This window comes from Homo sapiens, chromosome 4 (assembly GCF_000001405.40).
Source record: "Homo sapiens chromosome 4, GRCh38.p14 Primary Assembly".
In the NCBI taxonomy this organism is placed as follows: Eukaryota; Metazoa; Chordata; class Mammalia; order Primates; family Hominidae; genus Homo; species Homo sapiens.
In genome coordinates, this window is record NC_000004.12 from 91,427,399 (window position 1) to 91,453,498 (window position 26,100).

Here is a 26,100-nt window from a genome sequence, read left to right on the forward strand (position 1 = left end):
ATGTCAAGAATTACAAACTTGTACGATCATGAGTAAGTTACCCAGCCATTCAAGGATTCAGTTTTTCTATCTGTAAACAATCCCATTAGACTGAATGAGTTCTAAGCATATTTTAGATGAGTTTAGGATATACAATGGAGAAAAAAATGCAGGCTTTGTAGGCAGAGGGCCAGCTTCACTGATGAAGTTACCAATTTACTGAATCTCTACTTTTACCACTGTGAAACTGAGATGAAAATAATCTATTTTACAGAATGGTTGTGAGGATTAACTTAACTAGCTAGTGCACATTCAAGAAATATTAGCCATTATTCTTATAAAATAATATAATAATTGTATTTACTATAAAATTTGACCCAATTGCAAATGACTGTTTGTCATGGAGTTTATTACTAAGGGAACTTAATTTAAAATAACTGACATGGAATTTTAAATGATCTGGTGAGATTTAAATGATTCTGTTAGTATGCTTTTAATATGCTTGATTAAATGTCTTTGTGTATAAATATAAATACCATGCTTAGTCCAGGGATATAGCTTTTATTTAGCTCCTAATACAAAGTCCCAATTGCTCTGCAGGTGATTCACATCTTGAAAGGGTATAAAAGTGATTCTACACTCATTTTCAATCCAACTTGAATTTCTGTTTCATTATTTTCTAATGAAATTGAATTTGGTAATACTTGACACCTGATAAGATTTTGTTTATCTTGTTATAAAAAATAGACTAATAAAACAGATTTCCACAGCGCTCAATCTTGGCTATAGCATTTTACAGCCACATAAAAATTATCATCCATCCACTTACAATATTCTATCTTTATGGCTTTTCATAAGCAATATTGCTTTCAGTTTGGTATTGAATTTTAAGAAACTAAAATATAATTGTACACATTGTATATTTCTGTAATGAAATTGAGTTAAACACAATTGTCTAGATTCCTTTGTCACTTTTTATGGACAACATTTATTCAAAATGCAGTGGACATGTGAACAAATTTGGGTCTTTATAATATGGCAAATGCAGTTGCCTTGCTTTTGGAAAATAAAGCATCCTAAAATTGGCATCAATTACTAATTAGAATGTTAGAGTTTAAAATAAGACTATGATCTTCAGAGAGTGATTGGACTACTGAGATCGTAGTACATCATCACTGGATGGTCTAGGTGCAGTCCCAACTTGATTTTCTTTCTCTACTCCCATTTTCAGATTTTTCATCAGACTCTCTAGTTGTTTATTTCCAACCACCTTTCATGCCCTGTGTGTAATTATGAATAATATATTCTTTTAAGTATTCGTAGGTACAGTTTCTGTTCCTTACTGTTTTCACTTGTTTCTTAGATTTATAGGTATTGATAATGTGTAATTCTCTCCTTTTGATACATTATTGCATTTTAGTATTGTTTGAAATTCAATCGAATGAAAAGTACTTTATTAATCATCACTCTATTGTCTGTCTATTATTTTTCAAAATCTTTAGAAATGCAAACAATGCTGCAATCAACATCTTCCTGTTTATATCTATTTATATGTGCCAAGTTTCCTGCAGGTTTCTGAGGTCTTCCTTATGCTTATCAATTATGAAAAGATTAAAGGCAAAAGGATAGTTCTGAGGGAAACATATTACCCCTCCAAGGCAGGAATAAATACAGCATTGATTTATCTTGTATCAAATTAAAGAGTTTTTGATAATATTAGTTCTTCTATTATCATAATACTTTTTCTTTTCAAGCTATTATTTCATTTTTATGCCATCACAGAATAAAATGTCAATATTATGTACTAATCCTACCTTATTTCTCCCTTAAGAATTTTAGATTCTGTTTTGGTCTTTCAGAGACATAATTTCAGATGTTCTTGACTGATCGTTTTTGATATCTATATCTATTTCTCTTTCAATTTAAGTACGTTCAAATGCATCTTGCAGAATAATATATGATGGAACAATAATCTTTTTTAAAGAAAACAGGTACTACACTATAATATTTAGCTATTAACCTTATTTGTTTTTAAAAGTACATAAAAAGTCACTTGACACCAAAATAAACATTTGTTAAGAACCCATTACGTGCCCAATTCTGTTACCATTTTATTATTTATTCACCTAAATATACTATTTATTTAGATCAATACAGTATCACAGTGTAGATTAAGAAAGCAAGAGTGAGAAAGTAAAAATCTGTAAACATTTTGAAGCAAACATATGAAAGCAAAATTCTTAATTACTAGGTTTTTGTTGATTTTTGTTAATAAGGCCACAAACTTTACTGATATTTATGCACACGATAAATATACTTAAATTAACCTGTCTTACACTCATGTTGTCATGAGTAAAATCTCAAGCATAAGAATTTTATTATATTTTCATCTGAAAATATATTAAGTACTATTGAATGTAATTCTATTGTCTATAATCTCAGTTACGTGTTTTTTTCCTTTAGCATGCTTTAAAAGTTAATTAAGATAAGTATATTCTATACTAGAAAATTTTTATCATTATAAAACTATCTATATTAAACAGACTAGATAGATCTGAGACATACAACCTATGCCTCATTTCTATATTTTCACTTCACTAGCAATGTGTTTATAGCATTGTGTAACACTTTAAAAAATTTTTAGCTTTCATTGTTTATATCTCATGTATTTTACAAATACATCTTATGTTGGAAAATAATTGAGACTAGAAAGACATAATTTATCATTCAAATCCTCTTAAAATATCTTGGTTGGGATACTTGGTATATATGTTCAGAACATAAGTATTTTCACATAAAATTATATACAATAAGCATTCAAAAGAATAGGGGGAAAAAAGCTATTACAATGGTATACCATAGTATTTCAGTCATTGTGTTTAAACTTGTGCCTGTGTGTGAATATAGTGGACATTTTTCTCTTAGAAATATTGTAAAAACAGTTTTTATTGCATAGGGTATGTGTATTATTTGAAACGTATTAGATTTTAAATTTACTTTACTACAGACTATGTGAAATCTGAATATTGACTTCATTCTAACCTGTGCTGACTTCCCAGTTAAACTATTGATTATTTTGCTTACAATGCACCAGTATGCACATGTGTGCATGGGCACAACTATTTTTACTTTGTTAAGATTTTATTTGCTGATACATAAAGGTAACAAGCACCCAATTTATTGCTGAAAGAATATTAAAGGTGTTATTTAGTTCTCAATTGACTTACCTTTGAAATATGATTGTTTTCCAAAAAAAGAAAACATTATGAAATGGACACATGGCAAAACAAAGAATATCATTCGGCTAAGTTGAAAACCATTTTAGAAATGTTCGATTATATGAATGTACTACATATTTCTTTTCCTACTTCTTTAGCTTCTCAAATGAATGCAAACTCTGATTCTTTTCTACACTTTTATGAGTGTGCTTTTGTACATCTACATACCACGACTTTTTAGTCAAGTGCTAAACCTATTAATGATGGAAATCCTCTAGCGTTTTATTGGTTCTTTCATTCATGTAAACAATCTGTTTTATTGTATATAAGCCTTTTGTAAATAAAAATTTGGCTAGCTTGGCCGGGCGTGGTGGCTCACGCCTGTAATCCCAGCATTTTGGGAGGCGGAGGTGGGCGGATAACGAGGTCAGGAGTTCAAGACCATCCTGGCTAACACGGTGAAACCCCGTCTCTACTAAAAATACAAAAAGTTAGCTGGGCGTGGTGGCGGGCGCCTGTAGTCCCAGCTACTCGGCAGGCTGAGGCAGGAGAATGGCGTGAACCCGGGAGGCGGAACTTAGAGTGAGCGGAGATGGCGCCAATGCACTCCAGTCTGGGCAACAGAGCGAGACTCCATCTCAAAAACAGCAACAACAACAACAACAAAAACAAACATAAAAAATTGGCTAGCTAATACATTCACAGAGCTCAAATTTGGAAAAATAAAACTATAAACTGTGAAATGCTTTTCCTTCACTATTTTTTCCCAGCTACCCAGTTAATTCAATTTTAGAAACTATTGTTATTAGTTTTCTAGGTATACTTCTAAAGAGAGTGTTTTCACACATATACATACACAGCATTTCTTCCCTTTTTTTTCGGGGGGCGGTGGATGGGGTTTCGCTCTTGTTGCCCGGGCTGGAGTGCAATGGTGCGATCTTGGCTCACGGCAACCTCTGCCTCCCAGGTTCAAGCGATTCTCCTGCCTCAGCCTCCCGAGTAGCTGGGATTACGGGCATGCACCACCACGCCAGGCTAATTTTGTATTTTTAGTAGAAATGGGGTTTCCCCATGTTGGTCAGGCTGTTCTCAAACTCCCGACCTCAGGTGATCTGTCTGCCTCGGCCTCCCAAAGTGCTGGAATTACAGGCATGAGTCACCAAGCCCGGCCTCTTCCCATTTTTATCTAAATCGAAGCATTCTATACAATTGTCTAACACCTTGTTATTTTAATTAAGGATATATGTTTTAGATTTTTCTAAATTAGTTCACAGGTTTTTTTTTTCTTTATTGTTGGTTCACTGCTGCATACTTTTTCCATTGTATAGATGCAACATAATTGATATGGTTTGGCTCTGTGTCCCCACCAAATCTCATCTCGAATTATAATCCTCACTTGTCGAGGGAGGGACCTGGTGGGAGGTGATTGGATCACCAGGGCAGTTCCCCTATGCTGTTCTCATGATAGTGAGGGAGTTCTGGTGAGATCTGGTGGTTTCAAAGTTTGTAGCAGTTCCCCATCCACCCCCTCTTGCTGCCTTGTAAAGAAGGTTCTTGCTTCTTCTTTGCCTTCCTCTGTGATTGTAAGTTTCCTGAGGCCTCCCTAGCTGTGTGGAACTGTGAGTCAATTAAACCTCTTTTCTCTATAGATTATCCAGTCTCAATTAGTTCTTTATAGCAGTGTGATAATGGACTACTACAATAATTAATTTAATTAAACACCTATTTATAGACATCTGTGAATAGAATTATAGTACAAATAATACTATAATGAATAACTCTCGATGTGTGTATGTATTTCTATAGAATAAATTCCATGAAGAGGATTTGCATATTCAATAAATATATAGATTTATTTCAATAGATACAGACAACGTTTTCTGTATCAGGCTTAAAACAATTTACAATGTACTAGCATTTTATGAGAGTGTCTGTTTCCTATACCCTCATCTAGAGAATATGCTATCAAACTTCCATACTTTTATTAACTGGTAGGTGAAAAAAATATCTCTATGTAGATTTATTTGCACCTCTCTAATAATAAATGAAATTGAGCTTATTTTATAATCATAAAAGGGACATATATTCCTTTATGTGAACTTTTCTTTTTTACTACTGGATTTTTGTATTGTGTTACTGATTTTTAGGAGGTTTATACATTAGGGAAATTAGCTCTTTGTAGTAATAGAACTTCTATATTTCCCGTTTTAAAAAAGTTGATTGTAGTCATTTTTAATTTTTATGTTATTTAAGTTATATTTTGTTTTATTAAGTTTTGGTTTTGGAAAGGCTTCTCCCACTCTGATAGTGTGAAAGTAAAGAAATGTGTATTATGGATCTAATACGAGTATGTATGAGGTACTATATCAGTTGCTATTATCAATACCTCCCTGCCCAGAGAGGTATTTGGGGGTAATCAATGTGAAAATGACTGAGAAATACTAGGTTGAATAAAATAAGTGATATAATAATATATAAGCCACATTAATTTACTCTTTATTATATTGATTACCAGTTATAATTTTTAGTTATATGAATGAAAATTTGATTAGCAATTCTTCTCTTTCAGACCCCATTAAGCTCCGTGAGATTTAGAAAGTATAGTCGTGTGCCATGTAACAACATTTCAGTCAATGACAAACTATATATTGTCTGTGGGTGGTCCTGTAAAATTATAATGGGGCTGAAAAATTCTTATCACCTAGTGACACTGTGGCCATCATAACGTCATAGCACAACTGCTTTATTTCTTAATAAAGTGTAGCCTAAGCGTACAGTGTTTATAAAGTCTACAGTAGTGTACAGTAATTTCCTAGGCCTTCACCGTCACTCAGCACTCATTCACTGACTCGCCCAAGGCAGCTTCCAGTACTGCAACCTCCAAACAAGGCAAATGCCCTCCCTACACAGGTGTACCATTTTTTATCTTTCATTCTCTCATTTTTAGTTTCCTTTTTAAAATATAGACATATGTTTGGATACATAAACATTTACCATGTGTTACAGTATTCTGTTAAAATTGCCTGCAGTATTCAGTACAATAACTGCTGTACGGGTTTGTAGCCTAGAAGCAATGGGCTGTACCATAGAGCATAGGTATGCCACAGTCCATCTAGGTTTGTGTAAGTACATCTTATGATATGTGCACAACAATGAAATCACCTAACCACGTGTCTGTGTTGTTAGATGATGCATGACTGTATGTCTGTCTTGTTTATCAAAGTGTCCCAAGAGTCTAGCTCAGAGCCTAGAAAATGGTAGACACTTAAGCATCTACTTACTAAATAATAAATCAGTGTTTATCACAGTACCTCACACTGTAAACTAAGTCTACCTGGAAAGACACATGTTTAAGCAAATAATCATAGTATAGGTTCTGAGAAGTAACACTAATAGGGACAAGGCATTGAGACCGCTTGAGGAAGGAGCTCCTGACTCTGTCTGAGGGCGACTTCTGGAGGGAGACTTATCAACTGAGCACACAGTCTTGAATTATGGTACTCCGGCTGCACAAAATATTCAGAAGGAATAAAAGTCATAGCAGAAAAAGGGAAGCAAACTATTGTAATGGTTTGTTTTAACTGCTACAGACTTTTTGTTTGTTTTTTTTTTGTTTATTTGTGGAATCGCTGGTATTTTTGGTAGTAGGGGAATGTTAAAATAGGGGTACTTAATTTAGGAATATCTTGTGGAATAGGTTATGTTCGTAATTAGAATATGGAAAAACGGCGTAGCAACTCAATAGGCAGAAAATTGATGGGAAGGATCCAGGTCTAAAAGAACACGTTCAAAGTTACAGAGAAGCCATAAAATACTTTGTTGTTTTTTTAAAAAACAGATATTATTTAGAACAGCAGAAGCCTAACAAAAGCAATACGGGTAAAAAATGAGATAGGGTGTCCTCTTAGAGAAGTTTAAAAATGAAAGGGTGTAAGCTTACCAATTCAATATCTTAATAAAATAATTTTTTGTTTGTTTTTCACTCCTGAATGTAATTATGCATAGTAAGAATATCCACAGCTTTCCATAACTGGTATGAAGATTGATGGCAGTTTTTTCTGTTTTATCTATTTTATCTCATAAATATTTCTCAATAGCAGTTATTTTACAGAATATAATAGAGACTAAGAGTATTGACCTAAATCTGAACTTGCCATACATATTCCTATGATACAAATGAGCCAAGGATTTTCTTTACAACTTGTCCTCTTAGGTCAGGAGCCATTCCAAGATTCCCCTTGGCTCAGGGTCCTGGTGAAAGACATAGTCCAATGATGATGACATCAGATAGTTTTATGAGTCTATATTCTTTACTTTTTAGTTTGAAATTTATTTAGAGCACTTTTCAAAATAGTTTCTTCCTAACATGGCCGTAGAGTTCTGTTGTTGTTGTTGTTGTTTGTTTGTTTTGTCTATGTTCCATGATGTTTAATGAATTTACCTGCTGGCATGTACATGGGCAATATCAAGGTTTGGTGGCAGCAGCTGCACATTTTCTTGTTAGTGCAACAATGCTTATCTAACACTTTCCATGGTATTTCATGTATAACAAAAGTGTCTAGGCTGGGTGTAGTGGCCCATGCCTGTGATCCCAAGCACTTTGGGAGGCTGAGGTGGGAGAATCACTTGAGTCCTGGAGTTTGAGACCAGCGTAGACAAGATGATGAAACTCTGTCTCTACAAAAAATATTTAAAAGTTAGCTGGGAGTGGTGGCTGTGTCTGTACTCTCAGCTACTCTGGAGGCTGAGGTGGGAGGATAACCTGAGCCCATGAGATCACGGCTGCAGAGATTCGTGATCATGCCACTGCACTCCAGCCTGAGTGACAGAGTGAGACCCTGTCTCAAAAAAAAAAAAATGTATCTAAACATTTAGAAAATTCAAAATGCAAACTTGCTTTAAATACTCAAAAATAAATTGCTTTCTCTTACTTTTCATCGTCTGAGAGTTAGAAGATTGTTAGAAAAGATTTCGGCACCATCTATCTCTCATGCTTCTTAAAGCATGTGTAGTATTAAATTACAGGAATTTATATGTAGTTCTTTTATATATTTTTTGAAAACTTATGAACTACTGGGAAGTATTTATGCTAACAATTTTAATTAGACACAAGAAAGTAAATTAAGGTATTTATACCATTTAAAGCTTTATTTGAGATATCTCCACTAATTATTTTGGCATGCTTTCATGTAAAACAATTCAACTTTCATTTGGAGTTCATAGTTTTGAGCCCAGCCTATAATTTGCTTTTTGTCTTACTTTCATTTGAATCAAACCACTATGTTGTACAAAACTGTGCTTATGTGATTACAACTGGAACGCAACATCATAAGTAACTGACATAAACATGCCAAAGCAGTAGAAGAAAGCTCCTTGGATTAGCTGTATTTGAGCAATACTCTTTTTTCTGGTCTCTGCCCATCCATTTGTGGCTCCCTGCAATCAATTTTCATCATTGAAGGTAGATTAATTATATCACTGTAGTTACATTATATTATTAGGTTGGTTCAAACATTATTGTGGTTTTTGCTGTTACTTTCGATGTCAAGAACCACAATTACTTTTGCACCAACCTAATAAGACTTTCTATTTTATGCCATCTTCCCTCTTACTTTCTGTGATCTAGGCACATTGGATTTATTTCAGTTCCTCAAAGTTTTGTTTCTGTTTGGTAGGATTTTAAATTAAGGTAATATATATAAATCACACAGAGTACTACATGGCATATAGCAAGCTTTCAATAAATGTACTGATATTTATGATGTTTTGCCTAAGAACTTATGAAGAAAGGAAATAGGAATCACTTAAACACCAAGATCAAGTAAATTTTTCTCCAAAAATTTTCTCTAATCAATCTTGCCTCAATGAGAGTTAATTTTTGAAGGTGATAGAAAGTATGAGAAAGTCGATGACTTCAGTTTTGAATTATTAGAGATTCTGCTTCAAGACATAGAAATGGAGATTTATTTAGGCAGCTACATAGATTTACAGTATACATAATGCTGCCAATGTTAATAATCGTGTGGGGAGGTAAATGAGAAAATGAGACTTAGACAGGTTAAATTATTTCTTTAAGATCAAGGCTATTTCTGCTACACCATGTTGTCTTCCAATAGTGAAACCATGAGTGGAGCTCAGCTAGGGAAACAGAGAGATAGCCAAGCCACAGATGGATCTAAATTAGGAAAAGAAGTCAAAGCCACAGAGAAAGTCTAGTCAGAGACAGAGCAGGACAAAAAGCACAATGTCTCAAACATCCAGAAAAGAATTTCCAAAAGTATTTATTGAAAATAACCAAAAGCCAATTAAGATAAAGTTGTATGAAAATGTCCTTGGTGCCTAGGGACTTCCTACTTTCATGTGTTACCTGTCTTCCTGGCAATTGCACATAAGGTGTGAGTGAAGGCCTGCTGAGATCATATTTGCCTGCTAAGTCAGGTGGGTAACACATGAATTATCAAAGCCCTGGAACTAAAGAAACTGAAGAGGCCATGCTTAGTGTCCTTGCCTTTGCATTTAAATTAAGATTCAGACTTTCAGAGAGAAAGGAAAATATGAGAAATAAATGTCAGATTAACTGGGCCAAAAATAAAACTTGTATTTTTGGTGCATATCTAAAGATATCAGAATACTAGGGTATTGACTAGGGATTAAGTATATCTCATACCCTGGGGGAAGCATGTTTGTTCAGAAGGCAGTTTATTTGACCATAAAGGAATTTGAACTGTTGTGGGAGGAAAACATGTATGGACTACACATAATGTCATAAAACAAGAAAAATATTGAGGCGCTATTCTGCAATTTGCAGCTACGTAATTATAGATCAAACAGCTCTAATAATAAATGGACCTCCAGAGCCTCACGATCTCAGAATGGATGTTTAAAATAATTAATATGAGGGCAGCCAAGATGGCCGAATAGGAACAGCTCCGGTCTACAGCTCCCAGCGTGAGCGATGCAGAAGACGGGTGATTTCTGCATTTCCATCTGAGGTACTGGGTTCATCTCACTAGGGAGTGCCAGACAGTGGGCGCAGGACAGTGGGTGCAGCGCACCCTGCGCCAGCCGAAGCAGGGCGAGGCATTGCCTCACTCAGGAAGCGCAAGGGGTCAGGGAGTTCCCTTCCCTAGTCAAAGAAAGGGGTGACAGATGGCACCTGGAAAATCGGGTCACTCCCACCCTAATACTCCGCTTTTACAAAGGGCTTAAAAAATGGCACACCAGGAGATTATATCTCGCACCTGGTTTGGAGGGTCCTACGCCCACAGAGTCTTGCTGATTGCTAGCACAGCAGTCTGAGATCAAACTGCAAGGCAGCAGCGAGGCAGGGGGAGGGGCGCCCGCCATTGCCCAGGCTTGCTTAGGTAAACAAAGCAGCCAGGAAGCTCGAACTGGGTGGAGCCCACCACAGCTCAAGGAGGCCTGCCTGCCTCTGTAGGCTCCACCTCTGGGGGCAGGGCACAGACAAACAAAAAGACAGCAGTAACCTCTGCAGACTTAAATGTCCCTGTCTGACAGCTTTGAAGAGAGCAGTGGTTCTCCCAGCACACAGCCGGAGATCTGAGAATGGGCAGACTACCTCCTCAAGTGGGTCCCTGACCCCTGACCCCTGAGCAGCCTAACTGGGAGGCACCCCCCAGTAGGGGCAGACTGACACCTCACACGGCCGGGTACTCTTCTGAGACAAAACTTCTAGAGGAATGATCAGACAGCAGCATTCGCGGTTCATGAAAATCTGCGGTTCTGCAGCCACCACTGCTGTCACCCAGGCAAACAGGGTCTGGAGTGGACCTCTAGCAAACTCCAACAGACCTGCAGCTGAGGGTCCTGTCTGTTAGAAGGAAAACTAACAAACAGAAAGGACATCCACACCAAAAACCCATCTGTACATCACCATCATCAAAGACCAAAAGTAGATAAAACCACAAAGATGGGGAAAAAACAGAGCAGAAAAACTGGATACTCTAAAAAGCAGAGCGCCTCTCCTCCTCCAAAGGAACATAATTCATCACCAGCAACGGAACAAAGCTGGATGGAGAATGACTTTGACAAGTTGAGAGAAGAAGGCTTCAGATGATCAAACTACTCTGAGCTACAGGAGGAAATTCAAACCAAAGACAAAGAAGTAAAACTTTCAAAAAAATTTAGACAAATGTATAACTAGAATAACCAATACAGAGAAGTGCTTAAAGGAGCTGATGGAGCTGAACACCAAGGCTCGAGAACTACGTGAAGAATGCAGAAGGCTCAGGAGCCAATGCGATCAACTGGAAGAAAGGGTATCAGTGATGGAAGATGAAATGAACGAAATGAAGCAAGAAGGGAAGTTTAGAGAAAAAAGAATAAAAAGAAATGAACAAATCCTCCAAGAAATATGGGACTATGTGAAAGGACCAAACCTATGTCTCATTGGTGTACCTGAAAGTGACGGGGAGAATGGAACCAAGTTGGAAAACACTCTGCAGGATATTATCCAGGAGAACTTCCCCAATCTAGCAAGGCACGCCAACATTCAAATTCAGGAAATACAGAGAACGCCACAAAGATACTCCTCGAGAAGAGCAACTCCAAGACACATAATTGTCAGATTCACCAAAGTTGAAATGAAGGAAAAAATGTTAAGGGCAGCCAGAGAGAAAGGTCGGGTTACCCCCAAAGGGAAGCCCATCAGACTAACAGCGGATCTCTCGGCAGAAACTCTACAAGCCAGAAGAGAGTGGGGGCCAATATTCAACATTCTTAAAGAAAAGAATTTTCAACCCAGAATTTCATATCCAACCAAACTAAGCTTCATAAGTGCAAGAGAAATAAAATCCTTTACAGACAAGCAAATGCTGAGAGACTTTGTCACCACCAGGCCTGCCCTAAAAGAGCTCCTGAAGGAAGCACTAAACATGGAAAGGAACAACCAGTACCAGCCACTGCAAAATCACGCCAAATTGTAAAGACCATCGAGACTAGGAAGAAACTGCATCAACTAACAAGCAAAATAACCAGGATCAAATTCACACATAACAATATTAACTTTAAATGTAAAGGGACTAAATGCTCCAATTAAAAGACACAGACTGGCAAATTGGATAAAGAGTCAAGACCCATCAGTGTGCTGTATTCAGGAAACCCATCTCACGTGCAGAGACACACATAGGCTCAAAATAAAAGGATGGAGGAAGATCTACCAAGCAAATGGAAAACAAAAAAAAGGCAGGGGTTGCAATCCTAGTCTTGGATAAAACAGACTTTAAACCAACAAAGATCAAAAGAGACAAAGAAGGCCATTACATAATGGTAAAGGGATCACTACAACAAGAAGAACTAACTATCCTAAATATATATGCACCCAATACAGGAGCACCCAGATTCATAAAGCAAGTCCTGAGTGACCTACAGAGAGACTTAGACTCCCACGCAATAATAATGGGAGATTTTAACACCCCACTGTCAACATTAGACAGATCAACGAGACAGAAAGTTAACAAGGATACCCAGGAATTGAACTCAGCTCTGCACCAAGTGGACCTAATAGACATCTACAGAACTCTCCACCCCAAATCAACAGAATATACATTTTTTTCAGCAGCACACCATGCCTATTCCAAAATAGACCACATAGTTGGAGGTAAAACTCTCCTCAGCAAACATAAAAGAACAGAAATTAGAACAAACTGTCTCTCAGACCACAGTGCAATCAAACTAGAACTGAGGATTAAGAAACTCACTCAAAACCGCTCAACTACATGGAAACTGAACAATCTGCTCCTGAATGACTACTGGGTACGTAACGAAATGAAGGCAGAAATAAAGATGTTCTTTGAAACCAATGAGAACAAAGAAAGATACAACATACCAGAATCTCTGGGACACGTTCAAAGCAGTGTGTAGAGGGAAATTTATAGCACTAAATGCCCACAAGAGAAAGCAGGAAATATCTAAAATCGACAGCCTAACATCACAATTAAAAGAACTAGAGAAGCAACAGCAAACACATTCAAAAGCTAGGAGAAGGCAAGAAATAACTAAAATCAGAGCAGAACTGAAGGAAATAGAGACACAAAAAACCCTTCAAAAAATTAATGAATCCAGGAGCTGTTTTTTTGAAAGGATCAACAACATTGATAGACCACTAGCAAGACTAATAAAGAAGAAAAGAGAGAAGAATCAAATAGATGCAATAAAAAATGATAAAGGGCATATCACCACCAATCCCACAGAAATACAAACTACCATCAGACAATACTACAAACACCTCTATGCAAGTAAACTAGAAAATCTAGAAGAAATGGATAAATTCCTCGACACATACACCCTCCCAAGACTAAACCAGGAAGAAGTTGAATCTCTGAATAGACCAATAACAGGATCTGAAATTGTGGCAATAATCAATAGCTTACCAACCAAAAAGAGTCCAGGACCAGATGGATTCACAGCCGAATTCTACCAGAGGTACAAGGAGGAACTGGTACCATTCCTTCTGAAACTATTCCAATCAATAGAAAAAGAGGGAATCCTCCCTAACTCATTTTATGAGGCCAGGATCATCCTTATACCAAAGCCAGGCAGAGACACAACCAAAAAAGAGAGTTTTAGACCAATATCCTTGATGAACATTGATACAAAAATCCTCAATAAAATACTGGCAAACCGAATCCAGCAGCACATCAAAAAGCTTATCCACCATGATCAAGTGGGCTTCATCCCTGGGATGCAAGGCTGGTTCAATATACACAAAACAATAAATGTAACCCAGCATATAAACAGAACCAAAGACAAAAACCACATGATTATCTCAATAGATGCAGAAAAGGCCTTTGACAAAATTCAACAACCCTTCATGCTAAAAATTCTCAATAAATTAGGTATTGATGGGACATAACTCAAAATAATAAGAGCTATCTATGACAAACTCACAGCCAATATCATACTGAATGGGCAAAAACTGGAAGCATTCCCTTTGAAAACTGGCACAAGACAGGGATGCCTTCTCTCACCACTCCTATTCCACATAGTGTTGGAAGTTCTGGTCAGGGCAGTTAGGCAGGAGAAGGAAATAAAGGGTATTCAATTAGGAAAAGAGGAAGTCAAATTGTCCCTGTTTGCAGATGACATGACTGTATATCTAGAAAACCCCATTGTCTCAGCCCAAAATCTCCTTAAGCTGATAAGCAACTTCAGCAAAGTCTCAGGATACAAAATCAATGTGCAAAAATCACAAGCATTCTTATACACCAATAACAGACACACAGAGTGCCAAATTATGAGTGAGCTCCCATTCACAATTGCTTCAAAGAGAATAAAATACCTAGGAATCCAACTTACAAGGGATGTGAAGGACCTCTTCAAGGAGAACTACAAACCACTGCTCAAGGAAATAAAAGAGAATACAAACAAATGGAAGAACATTCCATGCTCATGGATAGGAAGAATCAATATCATGAAAATGACCATACTGCCCAAGGTAATTTATAGATTCAATGCCATCCCCATCAAGCTACCAATGACTTTCTTCACAGAATTGGAAAAAACTACTTTAAAGTTCATATGGAACCAAAAAAGAGCCCACATCGCCAAGTCAATCCTAAGCCAAAAGAACAAAGCTGGAGGCATCACGCTACCTGACTTCAAACTATTCTACAAGGCTACGGTAACCAAAACAGCATGGTACTGGTACCAAAACAGAGATATAGATCAATGGAACAGAACAGAGCCCTCAGAAATAATGCCGCATATCTACCACCATCTGATCTTTGACAAACCTGACAAAAACAAGCAATGGGGAAAGGATTCGCTATTTAATAAATGGTGCTGGGAAAACTGGCTAGCCATATGTAGAAAGCTGAAACTGGATGCCTTCCTTACACCTTATACAAAAATTAATTCAAGATGGATTAAAGACTTAAACGTTAGACCTAAAACCATAAAAACCCTAGAAGAAAACCTAGGCATTACCATTCAGGACATAGGCATGGGCAAGGACTTCATGTCTAAAACACCAAAAGCAATGGCAACAAAAGCCAAAATTGACAAATGGGATCTAATTAAACTAAAGAGCTTCTGCACAGCAAAAGAAACTACCATCAGAGTGAACAGGCAACCTACAAAATGGGAGAAAATTTTCGCAACCTACCCATCTGACAAAGGGCTAATATCCAGAATCTACAATGAACTCAAACAAATTTACAAGAAAAAAACAAACAACCCCATCAAAAAGTGGGCAAAGGACATGAACAGACACTTCTAAAAAGAAGACATTTATGCAGCCAAAAAACACATGAAAAACTGCTCACCATCACTGGCCGTCAGAGAAATGCAAATCAAAACCGCAGTGAGATACCATCTCACACCAGTTAGAATGGCAATCATTAAAAAGTCAGGAAACAACAGGTGCTGGAGAGGATGTGGAGAAACAGGAACACTTTTACACTGTTGGTGGGACTGTAAACTATTTCAACCATTGTGGAAGTCAGTGTGGTGATTCCTCAGGGATCTAGAACTAGAAATACCATTTGACCCAGCCATCCCATTACTGGGTATATACCCAAAGGACTATAAATCATGCTGCTATAAAGACACATGCACACATATGTTTATTGCGGCACTATTCATAATAGCAAAGACTTGGAACCAACCCAAATGTCCAACAGTGATAGACTGGATTAAGAAAATGTGGCACATATACACCATGGAATACTATGCAGCCATAAAAAATGATGAGTTCATGTGCTTTGTAGAGACATGGATGAAACTGGAAATCATCATTCTCAGTAAACTTTGAAACTGGAAATCATCATTCTCAGTAAACTATCGCAAGGACAAAAAACCAAACACTGCATGTTCTCACTCATATGTGGGAATTGAACAATGAGAACACATGGACACAGGAAGGGGAACATCACACTCTGGGGACTGTTGTGGGGTGGGGGGAGGGGGAGGGATAGCATTAGGAGATATACCTAATGCTAAATGATGAGTTAATGGGTGCAGCACACCAGCATGGCACATGTATACATATGTAACTAACCTTCACATTGTGCACGTGTACCCTAAAACTTAAAGTATAATAATAATAAAATAATAATAAAATAAAAGAAAATAATATTAGCGATCAGAAAAAAATTAAGTATAGAGAAAACTATATGTATATATATATAAATATGTATTATATAATATATATAATTCATTTCAGATAAAAAGAAAAATGGGATTTTTATTCACACTTGATTAGATAACCATCCAATTATATAGATATTTAACAATTCAGAATAATTTATTTGTCCAAATACTTGAAGAAGTGTATAGTGGAATTCTTCCTAAAATTAGTAAGAATAAACTTAATAATACCCTTATTGAATCTGAGGAGAGCTACTTACTGAAATTATATGTCCTGGCTTCAGAATGGATTTCCAAGGAGAAGAAAACAAAAGAATTGCTTGTGATACATTTTGTCTCATTCAACTTTTATTAGGTTTTTTCAATTAATGTATACATATAATACACAGGAATATTATTTAATGGTATGATTTATTGATGGGGTGCGATCACATATACTTAGATATTTTCCTTAGTCTTCAAATGGCATCTTTTCTGTCACTAGAGTTAAAAATAAAAACCTGAGAACATGAGAATCTGAGTATTCAACAATGTGAAAAGCTTGGTAGCCACTTAGAACAAGGAGCATAAGCTAAATTATTTAATTGTCCAGTAGAGCATATTCTTTGATATAAACTTACTACTGCATATTTTATACAAGTTTTCTAAAATAAAATGTCTAATGATGTAATCATCAATAATAGGAAAGCAAAGTGATGCAAGATTCACGAACACACTGAGCACAAATCATTTTTTTTAAAGTGCCAATTCTTTTGCTTTTTTTTTGAGACAGAGTCTCCCTCTATCACCCAGGCTGGAGTGCAATGGCACCATCTCGGCTCACTGCAACTTCCACCTCCTGGGTTCAAGCGATCCTCCTGCCTCGGCCTCCTGAGTAGCTGGGATTACAGGCGCCCACCACCACACCTGGTTAATTTTTGCATTTTTAGTAGAGATGAAGTTTCACCATGTTGGCCAGGCTGGTCTCAAACTCCTGACCTCAGGTGACCAGCCCACCTTGGCCTCCCAAAGTGCTGGGATCACAGGTGTTAACCACCACACCCAGCCTCTTGCTTCTTCAAGCTAATGGACCACTGTGAGTGAAATGTCAGATGATGGTGAAAACGTTTATATATTTGTAGTTTGTTGTCCTTGCTTGCTTTAATCAGTAGTAGCTCTCAATTTATTGGTGAGGTCAATTACTAAAATTCAGTGGCCTTCCTCACACTATGGCTAAACATTCCATTCACTTCAGTGTGCTGTGCTTCAGGATGTACTTTGGTATAAATCCTGCTATTACAGGAAAGAGAGTGTGTTGTTAAAAGCAAAGATACAAATGTGTCTACATTATACTGTAAAGATGTTCCTGAAAATGTGAGTATAAATTCTTTAAAAACTATTTTTTCCCTCATTTGCTTCATACTTGGTCTAGGGCTTTTCTGCCTCTGAGGTAACTTTTAGAAGATAATAACAATCTCCCCTTTGCTTCAACACAAAATAATTCCTGTAGGGCTTTTCTTGCCTGCTGCTGTGCAAAACCCTTTCAAGAATTATTTTATGACTTGAAAATTTTAAGATATTTCATCTATTTTTATTATTTTATTATATGGTGGTATTGCTATGAATTTTACTTGTATTTTGCAACAGTTTTTGTATTGGGAGATAAAAAGAGAGATATTTGGCCAACTATAGTAAGAAATAGTAATTCCTTTTTTTTTTTTTTTCTCATTTTAGCCATCTTTTCCTCTCTCTCTGCCACCCAATAGCAAAGACACTTTCTCCCAAGCGGTCACAGTGGACTGGCATGGGAGTTATGATGAATAAGAGAAATGTTGACAGTAGAGATTATATATTTTTGATTTTATGAAAATGTAGAGACCAAATACTGATGTATTCGTTATCATTCTCTCTCACTTTCTCACCCCCACCATTTCTTTCACTTTACATCCAATCTATTTGTTTTTATCTCTCTATTTATATCCCTGTCATCTATCCATAGCTTCTCTCTATCATTTATCTTTCAATCTAACTATCCACCATCCATTTAACATATATTACCCCCAAATTTGCAAAGGTACCTTCTATTAACAAAAAAATTGGCCCAAGTTGGAGAAGAATAAAGCACAGTGATGTCATAATAACACTCTACTGTCTTTGATTGGATACCTCTTCAAAAATAGTGGGTTTTTTTTTCTTTATCTGGTCTGTGTAAATTCTGCATCTGCCACCCTGCATTTCCATAAAAGATTTAGAATAGAATTGATTCTTAATACTGATAATTACACTTAAGAAATGACTATTATTTTTGAAGTGCTTAGAATATATATTATAAATAAGAAAAACAAGTGAATAATTGTTGTATAGTTTGAGTGGGAAGAAGTGTTTCATTCTGACTTTGTTTTGCTTTTGTAATGTTTTATTGTGTATTGTTTTAATGCCTAGTAAGAACAGTGTGAAGGTCGTGCCTTCATTGTTTGCTTTTTTGTTTTTGAGGGAAAGTATAATTTTAAAAAGTTTTATTCCTCATACTTTTTTGCCAGATGATAAGGATAGGATTTTAGCAGACTAAGTCACATCAAGCAGTGGCCAAAAGCAAGAATACATTGGTTATAAGAAAACAATTATTTATTCATAAATTAAGTAAAAGGTCATCACTTTAGACATTTTGAACTACCAAGTTTTCTATACAGTGAGAATTAACCATTTACATGTCAGAAGATTTACGTATTGGCAGAGTGTGCTCTAGAAATACTATACTGTTTTTCTGTTACAAATATTATGCATATTCATTATGGAAACTTTCAAAATTCAATAAATTTTAAAACGACATTTTTAAAAGTCTGTAACCCCAGATGAATACATAACAACTGATATTCTGCTATTTTTCTTTCTATTCTTTGTGTGTGTGTGTGTGTGTGCATCTTTGTATGTAGTAATGAATATGTAATGTCTATGTAATGAATATTTTATACAAATATATATTTTAAATAAATAAATATATATATATATATAATAGTCCTGCATCCTTTTTACTTGATATTATTTTTAAATATTTTTATATTCTGGAAAATATTTGACAATACAGTTTTATGATGAATATCTGTATAAAATATTTTCTTATTAGATATTTAGGTTATTTCAGCTTTGCGGTTATGATGTCTACAGCAGGTATTTATTATAAAACATATTTGGCAATATATTGAATTTCTTCTTGAATTCGGGGTACTTTTTTCTTGATTTGGTTTAGTTAAAACTGTGAATGGAGATGGAGTGTTATAGGAAGTAAATGTCTCCTTTCCCTAAGTTAAGGGTAGCTGGACCATATCACTTGGTGTGGCTTTAGCACAGGGACATGGGGTGTCAACCAATGCTTGACATGTGGCATCAGGGGCTTTCTTAGCTCTTCCTAACTTCCATTCATTTTCCTGAGTTTAGGCGTCTTAAGCTTGCTAAGGAAATCTCTTGAGGCTCCAAAGAGAGAGTTACAGAGTATTAAGAAGTCCAGTGACTTTTGAGGTTACACATAATATTGCAGTGCCAGAGGTTGTCTGCTTCGTGTCATAGAACATAATGCCTTTTCTCTCCTTTTACTCTTTATAGTTGATTCTCCCCTTTTCTTCTGTCAATGACTAGTGCTCCTTGTCTTTTGTTCCTTGTCCTGTCACCCTTTATAGTGTTGGCTTTGTCACTTATTATCTTACACTCCCCCCTAAACCTGCTATTTCTCCTTTATTCCTCATCTTGATTGGTGGTTCAAATGTCTCCCTCCTGTGGAGCTGCTCCCAGAATTGAACAAATCACTTCCTTCTCCATGTACCTATCACACTACTATTATAGCAATGTTGCTGAAAACAATGATATGTCAGTTTGTAATGAAATTTGAATTATTTAAAAAATAAGGACAGAAAAATTAGTTTTCCATGAAGTTAAATAAATTTAATAAGATATTTTACTTAATGATGATACTGTTTTTCTACTATGATTGATGGTCTAATAGTATATACTTTATGCAGTAATGCTAGAAAGCAAGTTGACAGCCCCATTTTTGTTTAATTTTTTTGAAATTAAGATTGCACTGGCCCAAGACATTTAAAGTCTAGAAAGTACAGTAATACAGTACTTATCATAGTGAAATATACTTATTTGTCTACATGTGTGAATCTTTCAGATTTTGAGCCTTTTGACAGCATGCTTGTGTCTTTAATTTTTTCTCCTATTGTCTCATAAAGAGTGGTCCATAAAAAGTGGTGCTTATTAAGTGTATATTATGTTTTATTTGCATTATTTTAGATGTTTATGTGAGTGTTCATATTACTTTCAGTGTAAGAGTTGAGTAATGTAATTTAGCAAAGTTTTACATAGGCAAGTTGCTACTTCATAAGGCAATGATCTACCTGAGGATAAAAGCATGAATTGAAATTGGATCATTCTCTGCATTCTGGTCCAAATTAATCGGTCTCATTTTGTATTAATGCTCTACCTTTCCTTTTAGTATTATCAACTTATATTAATGTTTGTCTTTCAAATTTTCAAATATTTCTATTTGACAGACTAATTTCTCTGTTCTTGCTTTTCTATAAATTTAATTTTCAGCACACACACATTATTCTTCACACTTTCTGTAAATTCTCCTGTTCTTCTTTAAATGTATGAAGCTTGATTGTGTAACTCAGGGAATTTCATTCAATAAAATATCTTAGCTCAATAAACCATTTAATTACTTAAATAATAGTTCAAATTGCTTAAAACATATTTATCAAAAACAACCAATTACATATTTGGATAGATAATGTTACCTGAAGGTGTTATTTGAAATAATCCTAACTCATTCAGTGTGTGGTCTTAGATAGAGTTGCTTATTTTGAGTGTTAAGAGTGTTTCTATATTTTTATCTGATATCCATGTATCCATGCAAAAATTCAGGGTCCTTGGAATAATTTGGCGTTTTACCATAATAAAATAAAGCTAATAATGATTATTATGATGATAAAAAGTTGTTCACAATTTTACTGAACATTTATGATATGCCATATATTATGTGCCAAGATTAATTAATCTTGTGTGCTTAATTAATTTATTCATTCAACAAATGTTTATGTATCATTGTAGGAACTGGTAATACAACAGGGGAAAAAAATGCATGAAGTTACTGCCCTTGCAGAACTTGCATTCTAGTAGGGAGAGGCAGACAACAAAGGAATTACAAGTGAATATACAGAACTATAGACAGTGATAAGAGTTTTGAAACAAATAAGAGGGAATAAGAATAGTGATGGGGTAGGGGGTAGGTATGGTTTACTGTTTTACATGGGGTGGTCAGGGAAAGACTCACTACTAATGTCACATACATGTAGAGACTTGTAAGATGGAAGGGAGTGGGCCATGTAGAAACCTGTAGAAAGAATTCAGAAAGAGAAAAGCAAATACAAAACCCTCGAGAGGTCAGGATGATTTGCTTTATGTAAATTATTCCTCATGCCAGAGAGATAGACGTTACTCTCCTGAGAAGCTGCTCTCACCACAGAATGAGTCACTCACTCCTCTATGCTCCTGAAGCAGATGTGGTAATATTTTTCAAAACATTAGTCCACTAATTAGGGTTGGTCTATGATAAAGATTTCATTGAGTAAAAAAAATGAGAAAAGTGGTGGTAATTGAGAGTCCCAGGTTGACACCTAATTTTGAAGTTAAAAATTTGATATATGAAATCCAAATGAATCTGAATCATTTGGCATCATAAGACATTTAGACAGTTTAAATTGTGTCATTTTTTTTGGTGCTCAGTAGACACCTCTCTCTCCAGTAAAATAAAAATTTAAAATGATTACAAATTTGTAATAATACAGGAAGATAACTGAGCTCTGTTTAGGTTCCTTCTCTCTGAACTTCACCATGGAAATTCTGCAGACAGCAAGCCAGGGCAATTGTAGGGCGGACCTCATTTGGTTCTCCTCACTCCAAGATTATGATACTGTGAAATTTTAATCACTTTTCAGTCCCTAATATGCTTAAAATTATTTATTTAAATTAATTATTTTTCGTTAATTGTTTTGTATTTAGGGACTAAAAAGTGATTAAAATTTTAAGTTTGTTGAAATTTTATGAATTCTTGAAAAGATTCATCTGCCTTTTTGGAAAAAGATAGAATTGGTCACTGTTAACTGAATAAAGCTGAATAAAGTATATAACTTTTTAATGTTCTCAAATCTTTCTCATTTTGAGGAGTTGAATTGAAAGTAGTTTCAATATGGCAGTGTTACATTTAGAGATCATGAGTTAACCATTTTTTATTTCATTTTATGTTTTGTTCTTCTCAGACTGAGTAACCAAGTTCTAATCTGCATATGTGATTTATTTATTTGCTACATTGCTATGAACTGGGTACTACACAGGGCAAGTTATATGCTGAAACAAAGCCTCACAATGGCTGGAGATTTGTTTTTATACAGGATGGGTCGTCATGCTGTGCAAGAGAATTGTCTTACTTCCCAGTCCTACTAGGGAGAGACTCTTCTACTCAAAACGTCCTATATTTCCTCCTCACATACCGACGATCATGAATTTCTTAGAAAGCATTGTTTAGAAACACAGAGCAGAGAATTATTCATTCATGGGAAAAAAAACCATCAAAACAAGCATGACTTAATGAGACATCTGATTATAAAACCTCAGGAAGTACTTACCTTTATCAACTATAAAACCTTAGGAAGGACTTCCATTTATCTGGAATCATGGCTTCCAAATTTACTCTGTAGCCCTAAACAACTAAAAATCTTGATACAATATATAAAACAACAGGTTTCACACATCGGACTATAGGTGTCACAGTATAGTAATCTTGGAGTGAGGAGAAACAAACGAGATGGGCCCTACAATTGTCCTGGCTTGCTGTCTGCAGAGTTTCCAGGCTGAAGTTCAGAGAGAAGGAACCTAAACAGAGCTCAGTTATCTCCTTCATTGAGGAGACAGAGTATTTGGGGAGTTAGTTAAGGTGGCTGTAATTGATGAGGCAGTGCAAGTGAGATGAGAGAATTGCACAAGAGAGCTCAGAGGTCTGCTGAGGACTTCACTCCGGTCTTCAGTTCGGTACTAATCAGCATTTCTGTGAGAAACTACTCAATGCTAAAAAAATGTCATGGGAAAGAAATGGGTGACACAATTATCAGAGCTCAGACAGGGCTAGGAGTAATTCACAATCCAAAAAGCCAGGATGGGAAAAAAGTTGTAATACATGAAACATCAGGCAAAAGGGTCATTTCTTAGTCTGTTAGGGATACTATAAGAAATACAATAGACTGAGTGACCTATGAACAACAGAATTTGTTTCTCACATTTCTGGAGGCTGGGAAGCCAAAATCAAAGCACTGGCAGATTCAGTGTCCGGTGAATGTGAGTTTTCTAGTTCAAAGATGGTACCTTCTAGCTGTATCCTCACATAGAAGAAAAGGGGAACCCCAGCTTGTTTGGGCTTACTTTATAAAATCAAAAATCCCATTCATGAGGCCTTATGCTCATGACCTAATTAATCAGCTTCCAAAACATCCCACCTCCTGATACCATTACCTTGGGGGTTATAATTTCAACATATGAAAATTTAAGGGCTTCAAACATTAAGACTGTGGCATGGGACCAAATTAGTCCTAGAAGTAAAGGCTGCTATGGGCCTAATGAATTTTAAAAGCTCATTTTAAAAGCATCATACTATTTCCAACTAGCTTAGTTGCAAACTAAAGTAAATTTGAAAAATATTTAAAGGATTACTCTCTTAAAGAAAAAAGTCCAGCACCCAGACACACTTCAATAAAAAATTGTTGAACATTCAAAGAAGTAGAAGACCAGGAATAATAATAAGGAGAATAACCAATCAATAGAAACATCCAGAAATGACAAATAATAGAATAAGCAAACAAGAGCATTAAAAGAGCCACTGTATTCTCCAAATAACCAAAAAGAAGGAGGAAATCATGAGCATGTTGAAAAATTCTGCATGTAACATACAATATGCACCCAAATTTAATTTCTAAAGCTGAAAAATACAATGTTTGAGATAAAAAAATACTTGGGTGGAATTAATAGCAGATTAGACACTGTAGAATAAAATATTATAGAATTTAAAAATAAAACTTTAGTAGTAAGTAATTTAAGTAAAAATGCAAAGTCCCAGTTTCATATTAAGTATTAGTAATAAGCATTACCATTATCGAGAAGTAAACATTTCTGATTAGCCTGGGTTGAGCTGGTCCAATGTGATCCAAAAAGGTACTCTGGACTGGGCCAACAATATCTTAGTTGTGTTCCTGAAGACTTATCTCTATTTCATTTTTAAGGGTTTGCATCAGAACATGCTCTATATACACTATGATGTCTGGATAGTAAGTATTTACATCTCATTATGAAGTGTAGGCTTAGATGTTTTCAACAAATCCTGGAAAGTAACTTCTATGGCAGGAGTCTCAGAAATGATAATCCATAGTCATAGGGCAAAATTGACACACAGACATCCTCTCTTTTGCCAGTACAATTAAAGTTAAATTTAAATGTCTTCAAGTAGAGCATATCATCATCTTGTCACAGATCCCATGAACCTAGCCTGTGAAATAATTTGAACTTGTAACTCAAGCCTTTTGAAAACATTTTACAAAATTTTCTGAACTCCATGGACTCCACGTGACTGTAAGAGTCAGAGGCAATGGCAGGTAAGCATTGCCTTTTATGTGGTTTTGTCTTAATAAGGCTAATTTGTATTGGGTACACTACTTGTCATTTGTAGAGTACCAGAAATACTAAAAAACACTCATATTGGTGTTGACTGGCAAAGCACATATGTCAAGCAAATCTAAATGTATGTCTTTGTCACTCCTTTGAGAACATTTCCAGAAATGATACAGCCAAAGTGATAACAGAAAAGGGTAAATAACTGCACATTGTCTTCCAAATGTGCTGAGATACTATAGAAGCTAAAGATGGAAAATGAAATTCATACATCTTAAAACAACTGAATGAATTCCTTAATTTCTTAGTCACAGCAAGTTCAATGTTTGACCTGTAAAGCTAATAAAGACTGGAGACCTCACTTTGTTCTTGACAAGCACTGTTGAGCTCTTTGGTTGCAGTTGAAGCTGAAGAGCATTCCTAATAAGATTTTTTTCTAGCTCATTTTCCTGCAAATGAAATCTCTGCCTTACATTGTCCTTAGTTATGGAAAATAAGATCACTAAACCTTGGTAACTGTTGCCGAATGGCAGTAAAGATTTCATTGTTCAAATAATCCTCAAGACTTCGCATATCAAGTATACTCTATATTTTGAGAAATATTTGTATTACTCTCTTTTAAATGAAGTTACCTCATTTTATTACCTGTCACTTCACTGGGTTTCAAATTGTCTAATTTATTTAACTAGCAAAGTAAGGGATTTGAGCCCACTATAGGTTATGATTTATACATTATCATTTGGTCATTTAGAGTTTTGTTTGGTAGTAGTTCATGGTGATTCTGTAAATTTTGTAAATAACTATCCTTATACTTTCTAGCATTTGGAGTTTTATGTCTTTTCTTGGTGAAATTAGTGTTCTGCAAATTAGGAAAGGCAGAAACAAGTCAATCAAACTTATAACACTGTCTGCTTGAGAAAGTCACCATGTTCATTTTATAGGTGATTTGTTTTGCCCCATTGTATTTTGAATTCTCCCGTCAGCCAGGTCATTTGTATCTCAGGCCACAGAGGGTCTCTCAAGACTGCTTCCTGTGAAATTGAGTGGCCCCTTTTTATTTCTCTGTTACAAATGTTTACTTTTTCCAGAGCACTTTTCTCCTAAA

General features: G+C 35.7%; 1 protein-coding gene across 8 annotated transcripts in view, besides 1 other annotated feature; it reads left to right on the forward strand.

The window, feature by feature from the left end:
- The window catches only part of CCSER1 (coiled-coil serine rich protein 1), a 1,477,902-nt gene that overhangs the window by 1,300,005 nt on the left and 151,797 nt on the right, over nucleotides 1-26,100 (forward strand). The gene's annotated exons all lie outside the window — the stretch shown is intronic.
- Nucleotides 22,473-22,998: an enhancer, noted in NCBI's record as "NANOG hESC enhancer chr4:92371022-92371547 (GRCh37/hg19 assembly coordinates)". NCBI's record gives its function as "activates a minimal SCP1, AML or CMV promoter by ChIP-STARR-seq in naive H9 embryonic stem cells {active_cell/tissue: H9 hESC(naive)}" and the evidence as "EXISTENCE:reporter gene assay evidence [ECO:0000049][PMID:30033119]".